This window comes from Homo sapiens, chromosome 8 (genome assembly GCF_000001405.40).
Source record: "Homo sapiens chromosome 8, GRCh38.p14 Primary Assembly".
NCBI lineage: Eukaryota > Metazoa > Chordata > Mammalia > Primates > Hominidae > Homo > Homo sapiens.
Genome location: NC_000008.11, coordinates 54621988 through 54635926, shown reverse-complemented (window position 1 = coordinate 54635926; position 13939 = coordinate 54621988). Strand labels below are relative to the sequence as shown.

Below are 13939 nucleotides of genomic sequence, written 5' to 3'. Positions count from 1 at the left end.
GACGGGGAAATCTCTGGGACTGTGTATGCCTTTATTAAGCTCTGTGGACATTATCCCTTAGGCTTTCTTGTGGGGGTTGTAGATGGGCTAATTTAAAGAAATAAGTTCCCCTCTTCCCTCCTGAAGGGGTGAACCTATTTATGTGACTCTGGTGTTGACCGTTACATTTTATCACGTTCAATAGCTGTGGGGTGTGTTGGGTTTTGGGTCAAAGAAGTGAGGAACAAATAAGCCATACGGCAAACAACTACACGGGAAAGTAAGCTTTTAACTAAGCCAAAGGTGACAAAGTAGGACTAAATTTCAAATATTATGTCAATCCTAAAAATGGATGCTGAGGCAGCAACTACATTAAATAAACTTATAAATATATATATGAATATTCATATATATGAACATAAATATAGTGTTTAGCTTTGTATCACCCATTTCTCACTAACCACTTTCACTCTCAATATAATGAATTCCTGTGATGTACAAGTCATGTTTTCCCATGAACCTACCATCCTATCTTAATTTACTTGGTTGTATTGATTCACCTGAGCTTTAAGCAGTCTTACGTAAGTAGTAGTCTGTAGACTGCAGCCATTTATCAACATTAGTGTTACAGAAGAAAAGAACTATTCTCAAGATGAAAAGCAGCTAAATGATTTCTACTCCATTGACCTTTGTTTTTTGTTCTTGCTGTTACTGATTGTTATGATAATCTGTGTATGAATCAAAAAGTAAACATTAATATATGAAATATCTATGCATAGAGAAAAGGCTCATGTGTATATCCTTTAGAAAGAATTCCCATTGATAAAAAAATAATCATTGTATATTACATCTTTTTTTTTTTTTTTGAGATGGAGTCTCGCTCTGTTGCCCAGGCTGGAGTGCAGTGGCACCATCTCGGCTCACTGCAAGCTCCGCCTCCTGGGTTCATGCCATTCTCCTGCCTCAGCCTCCCGAGTAGCTGGGACTACAGGTGCCCACCACCAAACCTGGCTAATTTTTTTGTATTTTTAGTAGAGATGGAGTTTCAACGTGTTCGCCAGGATGGTCTCGATCTCTTGACCTCGTGATCCGCCCACCTTGGCCTCCCAAAGTGCTGGGATTACAGGTGTGAGCCACTGCGCCCAGCCCATTGTATATTACATCTAAAGTCCATGATGGGAATTGTTTACTAATTTTTGTCTAGAACAAGATGAACGTATCTTCTCTAAACCATCAAACATAGTACTTGTCTCTGTTTGAAGGTTTGCTGTTTTGTTGCTTAATTTTCAAAAGCTTTTTGGTCATACATTCTTTGCCATGACTTGGGAATAGTCCCTTAATAACTTAGCACTTAAGTTACTGGAAGATAAACCCTTTTAGGAAAAAAACTGTGAAATACCTTGAAATGGACAAAAAAGAAATTACTAAGTGCCTTATCAAGCCCTCTTGGGGTTATCTCTGTTTTTTCATTATCTTTAAATTATCTGATAATCCTGCAAATTGTAAAAACACAGATAATGCAAACTATTCTTGTCCATAGAAATATAAATTGGTGGTGTCCAGGGAATGTAATTTTTGTCCTGGACAGACCCAAATTCATTTCAGCATTTCTTATTGCTTATTTTTAGTGATACTTTAAATTCTTCCTTCAGCCCATTGTATATGTTAATAATTCCCTATGTAATTTGTAAGTTAAATACAATCTTTGGCACATGGTCATGTTATATCTATATGGAATTCATGATTTTGCTTTTAAAAACAATTATCCTTTAATACCTTAATGGACAAGAGCGTAGAATAGTAGGAAAAATGGTAAGTACTTTGGATTAAAAGAACCCTGGGCAGTAATGGAATCCTTCTTAACCTCAATAAACAGGGAATAGAAAGTCATTTTGTTTTCAGGGTAGATCTGTACATAGAGTATCAAACCACAAAACTCAGGACTTTTTATGAGAATCGAATACAGATATTAAAGTAAAAGTGCTTCTTTACTAGCCTCTGTGAGTTTTAGTCCCCTTCCTGCTACATTAAAGGTACTGTTACCCATCGAGAGGGTTCTCGTGAGGACTAAGATAATACACATAAAGAACTTAGCCCAATATTTGGCACAGAGCAGGGGCTCAAACTGTTTGTCACCTTCACTTTTGTGAAGGGCTATATGACTAAATGTTGAAAATATTACATTTCATATATATATATATATATATATAGAGAGAGAGAGAGAGAGAGAGAGAGAGGCACAAAATAAAGCTAAAATACATCTTGGTCAGAAGAACACCAACTTTGAAAAGTGTATCAAACGTATTCACACTAATGGCTTTTTAAAGAAAAATAGCTAAAACATGTTTAACACTGTGTGCCAAACTCTGTGCTAAGAGTTTTACAAGTATTTTCTCTAGTGATCCTCTCACAACCACCTTATAAGGTAGCTCTTCATAAGAACTTTAATGAGTGCCACAAATATGGAATGTAGTTTCAATACCTCAGTTTACACTCTGAAAAATGAGGCATGTTTTGTGCCACTGAAAAGTTACATTATAATATTTGAAAGTGTCATGTAAAAATTACCCCTATCCACTGAACCAATAGCTCATTAACTTAGTTTCAGCTTGAATTAGGGAATTTTGTTGGGTCCCATAGTCCCCAAATTGGGCTTTCCTTGGAATCAACTCTGATGATTCTTGACAGCTGGCATTTTTGAGTGCCTCTACTTTTGAACTTCTGCTCCTTGCTACTAAATATACTAATAGTATATTTATTTTAATTCTGAACACTGCTGCTTCTTCCGGGTTTAATATTTGGGGGATGCCTGCACAGTTGGGCATTCAGCTTTCTTTGAAGCAGAAGCAGGAAGCTCAGAGACTGCCCCAATGCTTAAAGCATTGCCTTTATCCATGCAAGCCTCTCAGAGTGCCTGAACTTTTGGCAGCGCATAGCACAGCTGCCATCTGGTGGGCAAAACACAATAATTTCACCACTCCACCTTGGGACCAGAGACTGAATTCTACATATCTTCCCCTGAGTAAGGGAGGCTACACTTCCATACTCAGCCCTTCAGGTACTTCATCTCTAAAGCAAAAGCTAGCTCTCTATAATATCCTTAAATTTCCTCTAAAGTTTCACTTACTCTTCTAAATTTCACAGTGTGACAAGATTTTTTAAATATAAATCTTGCAAAACTAAAAACATGCTTTGAATGCTTAAAAGAAAAAATCATCTTTACAGACATTTTAAGGATAACTAAAATACTGCTTTCGTAAAATATAAAAAAACTAAAAAAAATACAAAAAACTGAGTTCTATCCTTCAGCATATTTGCACATCCTTCTACATGTATGGATCTGAAATTAGTAAGAGGTAAAGAAAAATTAAATGCCTTCAAATGCACTTCTTATCCATTTAACACACATTTATTAGGTACTTACCATGTACCAAGTACGAAGCTAGCTCTGTGAATAAGATGTGGCCCAAGATCTCAGAATTCAATGCATGTGAACACGTTCACTTTAAAGAAGTATGTTTAAAGAAGAAGTATGTTACACAGTCCCATGCATTACTAATTCATGGTTGTCACTCCAGCTTCTCCCAATTATGATGCATGAAGGACACTGTTTGGTGTAATAGTATTGCCAAAAACTACATACTGCATGCCATATTTCTTGAAACCTCCTGGTTTTTATAAATGATTTCCTCAATCTTCTTGGGTATATCTATATTTCACACCTTCCAAATTAAAAAGAAAAATTCTTTCCTTGTCTCCCTGCACTAGAGAATGAGTGGTAATTTTTTTTTAAATATCTTATCCCTGGCTGGGCGCGGTGGCTCACACCTGTAATCCCAGCACTTTGGGAGGCCGAGGCGGGCGGATCACCTGAGGTCGGAAGTTCAAGAACAGCCTAACCAACATGGAGAAACCCCGTCTCTACTAAAAATACAAAAATTAGCCAGGTGTGGTGGTGCATGCCTGTAATCCCAGCTACTTGGGAGGCTGAGGCAGGAGAATCACCTGAACCCAGGAGGCAGGGGTTGCGGTGAGCCGAGATCGCACCATTGCACTCCAGCCTGGGCAACAAGAGCGAAACTCTGTCTCAAAAAAAAAAAAATCTTATCCCTTCTTCCTCACATGAAAACAATGATAAAAATGTAGGATGCCCAGCGCAGTGGCGTGTGCCTGCAGTCCCACCTACTTGAGAAGCTGAGGATGGAGGATCATTTGAGCCCAGGAGTTCAAAACCAGCCTGTGAAACATACTGAGAATCAGCTTTAAAAAAAAAAAAGTAGTAAAAAGAGCATTGATTTTCAAGCACAAAGAACTGGGTTCAAATCCTGGCATGATACCCTACTGTAAACCAGTCATGAAAGTCCTTTACCTTTTGCTCCTAACTTCTCTACTTAAAAAAAAAAAAAATGCAGGGGAAGTAATAAAGCCACATTCACAGTGCTTTTATGAGGAAGAATTACACACAAAAAGCCTGCAGGTGTACCACAGTCCCTGGTACACAGTAGGCACAAAATTAATGTAAATTATTTTCTCCTTTCTATTTTTTCTCCAAAACTTTGTGCCCTTTCATTCACTACAATTTCTCATTGCTTACTACAGAAACTTACATAACATTATAGCTTCCATATTTTCACTAAAAGAAAGCATCACTTAATGTTTTTTTAAAAAGCATACTCTACATAGAAGTAGTCTCCAGCTGATGAAGTAGCAATTCATAATTTTTATGAATTTATGACTCATGCTGAACTGACACCAACATTATTCTTGATGTAATTAATTTAATTACCTTTTGTTCCTCAATGCCAAATTTATGTTATTTTAGCATCTCCATGTGTGGCTCCAAAAATACTGATCATTCTAATTTGAGTTAGTTGTAGACAAGAGGCATAGATTTCCAAGTTTCCTAAGACTTGTTTCTATATCATCATATAGTCATGCAGTGGAAGGACTCTTAAAAGCTTTCCTGGTTAACTCCTGGGAAATACACCACAATTATTCAAACCAATTGATACTTGATAGTCTAGTCTATTAGAAAAACACTAAATCCTGTCCCATGGAAATGCTTGCAATTTCACTGGATATTCTGAGGAACTGGACTCAACATATTTGGCACAAGAAACTATGAGATTGTCGTGGATATCTTATAATCATACTTTTTATCAAATCAGTAGTTAAAAAGAATAAGTGAAGTACTTTGAGGTTATGTCTATTCAATTTATTCACCAATACAGTCAATATACATTTTACACCAAGCTAACAACATTTTTTAAAAAGGATATAATTCTTGTCCTTAGCACATTTTGATGCCCTGAGCAAAAAAAATCATAGATACCAAAAAAAAAAAAAATGTAAGTTCAGAACAAAACCAGATAGAAACTTCCAAAATAAGAGAACCTGAGTCTGTAATTGTTGGAAAAACAAAAAACAGAGACATTATGAAAGTCAAACTGGTTATCCAAGGGTAAGCTTTCTAGAGTAAGTTCATTTTGAAGAAGTGGAAAATTCTTAGAGGTTATCTAGTCCGTATTCGTCACATGTGCTTCATCTCATGGGAAAAAATGAATTGACAAAGAATGAGTGTGCTGATATTGAAATTATAAATCTTCTTGTTCTCTACTGCTTTCAAGATCAGTTAAATTTAATATGTCTTCCTCTTCCCAAATGAAAAGATTTTCACCCTCAAACATACAAAGTTCTAAAATATTTCTGTTGCTAATATTTAAGGAGGTCTCAACTTGGCAAATATCTAAGAGGCAAGCTTGACCAAGCATTTCAAAGAAGTAATGACAGTTGATATTTTCTCTTACTACTTGGTTGAGATTTGTTCTTGAGCCCTGGAATCTGTTATTTAATAAGTTGTTATTCTCATCGACTGCTTTAAAGATTTCATTTGTCTGACCGCTGAGGTCTTGTGTATTTGAATCCACATTACCCACAACTAACAATGATGTGTGCAAGAAATTCATACAAAACCTTTCCTTCAAATCTGGTTGAAATTTCTTTAAATTACCTTCTTCCTCTAACCCCAAGAAGTTAATTCTTTTTTGTTTTCTTCTTTTACCCATCAAGTCAAATGTGTTACTGAAATAAAACTGATCAAATATATCACCAATGGCATTATCAATAAGATTTTGTCTCATACTTGCTTTATTGTTCTCTTCCCTGAACACATTTTTGTCTGTCTGAAGTAAATATGGGTGTATTTTCATCCATAAATAAAAACCCAAGAAATTTTCAATATCAGATTCTTTGCGATATGCAAATCCTCGGTCTTCCTCATTCATGGGTTGGATAATAACAGTTAGTATTGGGCAATGTTGACCACAAAGAGCATACAGTTTATCCAAAGAGTCAGCTTCCTGAAGTGTACCATGAATCATATTACTGCCAGGCAATGGTTGGTTTTTAATAGCATCATCAGAGACAGGGTAGACTTTGTTACCAGCAGAAATAAAGGAATGAGTGACAGATGTGCATACTCTTTCTGACTGATGACTACCCTTCTCCTCTGTATGATGATTTGCTATTCTTTCCTTGGCACAGGTTTCATTGCGAACATCCAGCAAGTCCTCATGAAAAGGTTCTGAGTCACTACCATGAGGCATGTTAAAGTAATTGCATTTTAGTTCAAGGGGTTGAGTCAGTTCCTCGAGTTCTGAAGAGGAGAGTTCATCCATCGTTGGGCCTGGGGCCAAATTACCAAAATGTGAATATGGTACCTCACTGCTGTTATTATCAAGTAGGGTGTCCACTGATGTGGTGTCTGCATTGCCACACATGCCAGGATTTTCAGATGACATCCTTAGCAAATGATTTTCTTTCAGAAGCCATTTGCCTTTGTCAATCAGTACTCCTTCCTCTATGTCTGTGAGGATTCTGCTATCATCATTTTGTTTTGTACCAGGTTCTACAATGTCACCCCTACAATAATTGTCCCTCACAGCACTAACATCACACTTATCTTGTCTTTCCTCCTGGAATTCCTGCAACATAGATGAACTACTAGATACCTGTTCAGAAGAGCCAAATGACTGCCCTTCAGAATCATAAAGACTTGCTTTCCTGGAACACTGAAATTCCACAGAATTATAAGGACAAACCTGAGATTTGCGGGTAGACCCAGGAAAAAAAGATGGTTTGATAATATCTGCTTTACCGTACAGTTTTTCTATTGCCCTTTTAACAAATCCTATGTTATATTCTTTCTCTTGGGTAAGTTCGCCACTGTCATTGGGATCATCACTGGATGTTTTATATGGCTGCTCACTGTCACTGTCAGGCCGATAGTCTGACCAATCAGAAGTCACTGGACTTTTGATGCATTTTTTTAAATCAGGAGAGGACTCTGAATAACTTCCAGTTTCCATAGTTTTCACCATCATTTTTACCATCTTAGTTTCTCCTTCATTGGTCTCCTTTTCACTATTTTGCTTAGAATCATAGCAAAAATCTAAAGATGGTGGTGTTGCCAGCCTCTTACTGATTATTTCATAAATTATACCGTTCATTCTTTTTTCTTCCATAATATTCTTACTAGAGATGTCTATCAATTCTAAAGTTTTACTAGCCTCTACCTCTTCTTGGATTAATTCTTCAGTGGCTTGCTCTCCTCCATTTACCACTGTATTAAAGATATCAGTGTCATGGTTTTCTAATTCTTCAAAAGATTCCAATTCTGAAATGTTTCTTTCACTTGATGTCATGCTGTTGGTTATTGAGCCTGGTTCTTCAGAAGTCCGTGGTTCTTCCATATCAAAGGAAGTATATGCATTTTCATCCTGAAACTTCCTTAGTGAACAATTTTCAAAATCATCTAGAGAACTATGTTTCTTATCAAGTTCTGCTTCTTTTTCACTTAGGCAAAGGCCACAGGAGCTTAAATTACTGACATTTTGATGTGACACCAATGTATTAAATCCATTTTTATATTCAGGGTCTGTCAAAATATTTAGATCTTTCTGAATGTCATCACCTCTTTCTAACTCTTCAGTTGAATCCAAGTTATCAGTATATGTGTTTTCTTTGGAGTTTAAAAAGTCAATGGTATTGCAGACATTGACAGGAACGTAGGTCTCATCAATTGGGCAAGCTCCCTCATAGGTATGGTTCTCCTTTTGAGCACAAGCCTTATCAGAAAACACAGTATCAGTAAGTGAACAGACCTCTCCTAGGAAACAAGCCTTATTCATAGAAGTCTGATCCACACCATAACCATCACTAGGAAAAAAAGTGTCACTGGGGTTACATGTCTCTTTTGGAGAATAAGCCTTATTTACAGTGCACATCTCACATGGAGAGCAAGTCACTTCCAAAACACAGACTTCAGGGGCACATGCCTCACTGGCAGAGCAACCTCCATCCAAAGAGGAGATTCCTTGTGTTCTTTCATTTTCACTGCACTTAGGAACACTCTGAATGTTGACCGTGGAACAATTTGCAGAAAGATCTATTGGAACCATGTCTTGTTCTTTCTCACTGAGTCCAAAGTGGCTTGTAGTTGACTCCACTAAATTGGCAACAGCAGCTTTCAAGTCATCAGCTTCCTCTGTGATAGCTATGTGCTTTAGAATCTCCAACAATGCAAGTGTTTCTGAAGATTTGTTGGTAGCCTTGTGAGCATCAACTTGACAGAAGCTATTCATACTTCCCTTTAGGTTTAGCACCAAGAGCCAAGCTAGAAGGAGATTAGTGGATGAATTACATATTGCAGAATGAAAGGGAACACCTGCAAGTGAACCTGGCATTTGAACAACTCCATTCTGAGTCTTGTGAATACCAGGAACTGAAGCTTGCAATTGGTGAAGCATCAGGACTGGTAAGAGGTCTTTTGGAGTTTCCTCTTCTATAGGATCTACTTGAATGGCAGCCTCTACACTTTGCCTTTTTCTAGCTAGGTTTATTTCCTGGTAAACAAGTTTTTTCTCTGGTCCTGATTTTTCAGCAGCTATATGACTTTTAGTATTATGATCATTAATAGCTGACTGTGACAAAGTACAGTGTTCATGCAGGGGAACCAAATAAGCATCATTCAGAGATCCAACCTGTGTCTCATGGAGATCTTCTTCACCAGTGTCATTGGCAATAAAAGACTTATCTCCCTCTTTACATAGATTATCTCCTGTCAAACCGGCAATTTTAGTTATGTGCTTATTACTTTCCATAACAAAATTACTTATTTTTCCAGAATTTGTATGGGGATCATTCCCTGAAAAACTATTATTGCTACAATTTACCACACTCGTTTCATTTCTACATACTGGAGCTGATTTTATAGGCTTTAAAGTTGGATATGGATTTATGTTCTGCAACCAACTCTGTATATAATTTTGAATTGAATGATGAGCAATAGCCTCAGGAAAATCAGGTTTTTTCAAAGAAGCTAAAGAATTTGCCCTGGTTGTAGCATGTTGTTTACTTAAAATAGCACTTGCTTTCACTTTATCCCCTTTACGTTTTTTCTGGCTTTTTAAAGTTATGTGTGAATCAGTAACTTTTGAAACTAAACTCTTCTTTGCCATTCCTCTCAAATACCCAGATGCCACTTCTGCTTGAGATTGCGGTGCATAAAAATCTTTGGGTTTTTGCTCAAGGATGTTAAATACATGAAATAAACTTTTGTTTTCAAAAGTACTTTTGCAATATTTAGATTCATTGTGAGGAAACACTTTATCTCTTTGACCGATTTCTCTTTTTTTAGGTGCTCCTAAGCTTATTTTATTTAGTGATCTAGATTTTCTTTTGGTTAAAAGTCCTTGAACCTTGGAATTTTGAGTAGTATTTAATTTATTTCTATGGAAATTCTTGGAAATCGTGGAATTGAGATTACTTTTGGAACAAAAAGTATTTGATTCAATTACAGTATCACTTTTCTGGAGGTCTTCCTCACAAAGTATCCCTCCTTTAAGGGGACTATCTGAATCTTGCACTATCATTTCCTTTGTAATTCTACCTTTTGTGTTTATTCTCTCATTCTTATTAAGAATTCCTTTGGTTGCAAGCTGTCCATCTTGATACCTGGAATTTATTGCTTGCTGTCGAGATTTTTTCTTCTTTTTGCTGGCAACAGATGACAAAATCTTCTTTTCATTTTTTGGAAGTTTTGTTAAACCACACTGAGCAAATTCATTAATTAGTCTGTCAATTCTTGCAGTGACAGTAGAGGATGCTTCTGAAGCTGGAGCCTCAGAAATATTTTTGTCAGTTCCAGAGTTATTACTTGAAAAATGGGTTGCATCTGCTGAAATAGGACTGAACCTATCATTGGTGTTACCATAAGTTTTGAAGTTCTTGATACCAGTTTTGTTGTCCAATACCACACAATCAACTACATCTTCCTCCACAATTGAGTTATTTGATATAGTTGATGGCAAACCATTATTATGTGACATCTCTAACATCTTCTGACTTGTAATTTCTATAACACCAGCACTTATTGCACTTGACTTAAGCAGACTGTTTTCCTTTTTTCTTTCTAATGATGACTCCTCCATTTGATCATTGTTATTGATCTGAACAAGTACTGGTTTGTTAGATACTGATGACATTTTACTGCAAGAATGTGTAAACATGTGATACTCAGACTTGTTTTCCCCACTTTCCCTTTCTTCACTATATGAAAACTGTCCAATCATTTTCTCTTGAACCTCAGTTTCAGATACTAAGGTCACACTGCCAATCACAGATTTCTTTTGTCTCACTCTTCTTAGTCCAGGTGTAGGGGGCCTATAAAAACGATGCTTTGCTTGGTCTTGAGTTCCCTGGATGATATCTGTGTCCACAGTAGCATTCTCCCAACTAGCAGAACTGCAAGTTTCAGCCACTTGATCTGTCATTTGAATGTTTATCTCCTCTGCCAAACTGCCCTCTTGATTACTGCTTCGCTCCATAGGTGACACATCTGCAGAGAATGAACATGCTGCAAGCTTTAAACCAGATGATCGACTTTCTGTTCTTCCTGGAAAACTCATCTCACTCTTTTCATCATTATTAGAAGGACCAGTTTTACTGACAGTAGTTGTCCATTTTATGGTTTCTTCCTCTTTTATTCTGAATCGAACTTTCATCTCAACTGTCATAGTGCCGTCTTGATTAAAAATAATTGATTTCTCAATATCATCTTCAGAAGGATATATTGGTAAATTCTGAGAATCATTCTTTTCTAAGGCCAAGTACTTTTCAGGAACAAAAGAATAGTCTAAGTAGCAATCATTATTATGTGTTTTCTCAGAAGAAACAGAATAAATCTGGGACCTTGAGCTTGAAGACATATGTGTGCTTACTTTAAAGATTTTAAGAGTAAAAGGTGCCCACATCAAAATATAATATGGAAGGCAGAGAAGTTAGAAATATCCAAAGGAAGAGGCAGCAAAAAAAGAAAGAGAAAAGGGGAAATGATTAGTATGAAAAGTAGCATATTTTCTGTATTTCATAGTAAAATGTTACTGATATGTTTCTGAGCTCTATGTATTTTGTTTTTTTTCTTTTTTTTTTTTTTTTTTTTTTTTGAGACAGAGTCTCGCTCTGTCACCAGGCTGGAATGCAGTGGCGTGATCTGGGCTCACTGCTACCTCCACCTCCAGGGTTCAAGCAATTCTCCTGCTTCAGCATCCCGAATAGCTGGGACTACAGGCCCGCACCACCATGCCCAGCTAATTGTTTTGTATTTTTAATCGAGACAGGTTTTCACCATGTTGGCCAGGATGGTCTCGTCGATCTCCTGACCTCATGATCCGCCCGCCTCGGCCTCCCAAAGTGCTGGGATTACAGGCTTGAGCCACCACGCTCAGCCTATGTGTTTTCCCAATAGTTATTTGAGAAAACCTACTATAACAGTGGTACATTTCTTCAAACCACTCTTTAGAAGAGATCTCTAATTCTACCTCAATTTCAATGTGGAGGTTCAGAGAATTTTAACAAGTTTAATAAGGTAATTTTAATTTTAAAAATGTATAAAGTAAAAAGTGCTAAGAATTCTACCAAAGATAAAAGTTTTTTGTGGGTTTTCATTTCGTTGTTTTGTTTACCAGTACTGAAACTGGAGTCTAACCAAATACCGCTTACCTATTCAAACAAGGCAGCCAACAATTTATGATGGTATTCATCTTCCCACCTACACATATCAAAACAGGTATCCATAGCTTTATGAAAGCAGAAACATTTTATGATTCAGACTGAATTAATCAAGTACTAATTATTTAGCATGCACTTTGTATAATCGTTGCAGCTGACTTAATATAGGGCACAAGAGAGAACAGAGCTAGACATAAGTCCAGATATCAGTTATCTTTTTAACATGTATCTTCAGCATTAACCTTGGCACTCTTGCTTCTTAAATTCAGTCAAAATGCCTGGGCTGGACGCAATGGCTCACATCTGTAATCCCAGCACTTTGGGAGGCTGAGGCGGGTGATCACTTGAGCCCATCATAACAGCCTGGGTAACATAGTGAGACCCCATCTCAAAAAGAAAAAAAAAAAATCCTGTTAGCAAATCTATATAGATTTGCACATACTTGCCATCAGGTAAGCCCCTTTAATGTTGCAGAGTATAAACCTAGAAATATTTTTTCTTATTTTTGATATGCTTTTACTTAAATTGTAAATCAAAGTGTCTCAAATTTTTGAAGAAAACTTAACAAAGCCCTCAGATTCCCTGCAGTCATCAGAAACCATACTCGGCAATCTGTATCAGACATAAGATAATAAAATCATTTTAGTAAAATGACAAACGTGAAATAGCACTACCATATTTATAACATATATGTGGCAACCTAATGCTTACAAAATAGAAGCATTAATAATTATCTATTGAATATATCCATGAAATCATTAAACAACAATGGATTAGTTTCACCCACATTAGCAATAAGTAGAGAGATTAATACTATTTAAAATACATATTATCCAAGTCTAAAGAGAATAAAAACTTAAATTTAAGTATAAAAAACAATCAGTACTCTAGCAAAGAGCTTGTCTTCCCTGGAAATACTGAGTATAATGAATAATGAGATTAGCCATGCTGTATAGGCAATTTACAGCTTATCCCACATCCCTGGGCCTGAAGAGGCCCTCTTCCTCCCCTATCCAAAGGATAATGCTACACAGCAGATCCTACAGAATTATCAACCTACATTACCATTAACCAGCATGAATTGGTTGCATGAACCTTTTATTTAATAAATAAAATGTGGATCTAAGAACCTGTGATTTTTTTAGGAATAACTTCAGAAGGCAGAGCACATAGCGTAGATTTGAAAAAATACAGTCATTCTGCTAACCTGCTGAGGTCAGCTATGGATGCTGCATGGTACTATTTAGAGAAAACTCCGCAACTACCAGAGAAGAGACTTACACAGACTCCACTCTAAAGCAAGAAATGCTGGCATTTTTATTTTTTTAACTAGGTATTTTATGCAAAAAAGCACACATCATCAATTTAAATAGGCATACCATTGATTTGGAAAAGTCTAAAAAATAGATAATATCTATGACTCTTTCCAACTATAAATATAGCCAATTTCAGTTTAGAATGTTTTTAAATCCTCTCCTTTTCGTTTCTGTGGTGGAAGAAACTGGTCATTGAAGCATGGATTTTGCCGTCCTTGAGGCAAAAAAAATCTCAGGGCTAAAAATATGGGCTATATATTAATAAGTGACTTACTCTTTCTGCTTTCTGACTTTGCATTTCCCTTGGGGTACACACGCTGAGAGATCCCTGGTAATCTAGCAGGAAGCAAGTATTTTTGGATGTCATAATTTCCTGGTTTAAATGGCTCCCTTCCTGCCGCCACCACAGCTCCAGAGCTCAGGATCACTGCCTGGAGGCTGGGAACCTAAAAGAGACCAGAGTCATTATCCTGAGATGAGCACATTTTATACTAAGTGGTAATTTTATAACTTTGCTTGAATCAAATCAACAACCTCCTAGGCTTGAAAGACATCATCACTGAGCATTTTCTTAG

General features: G+C 36.7%; 1 protein-coding gene across 8 annotated transcripts in view, besides 1 other annotated feature; it reads right to left on the bottom strand.

The window, feature by feature from the left end:
- RP1 (RP1 axonemal microtubule associated) overlaps positions 1–13939 on the bottom strand; it is a 312050-nt gene that overhangs the window by 235308 nt on the left and 62803 nt on the right. For 7 of the 8 annotated variants that reach the window (XM_047422069.1, XM_047422070.1, XM_047422071.1 and 4 more), the window contains one exon: positions 13639–13810. In XM_047422069.1, coding sequence (XP_047278025.1) covers positions 13639–13810 — 172 coding nt within the window. Of the gene's footprint in view, positions 1–5092; positions 11258–13638; positions 13811–13939 lie in introns of those variants that run through there. The other variant, NM_006269.2, reaches the window with a different exon arrangement.
- Positions 5969–7168: an enhancer, noted in NCBI's record as "CDK7 strongly-dependent group 2 enhancer chr8:55541319-55542518 (GRCh37/hg19 assembly coordinates)". NCBI's record gives its function as "activates an origin of replication core promoter dependent on BRD2, BRD4, P300/CBP, MED14 and CDK7 cofactors, with strong dependence on CDK7, by STARR-seq in HCT116 cells {active_cell/tissue: HCT116}" and the evidence as "EXISTENCE:reporter gene assay evidence [ECO:0000049][PMID:35650434]".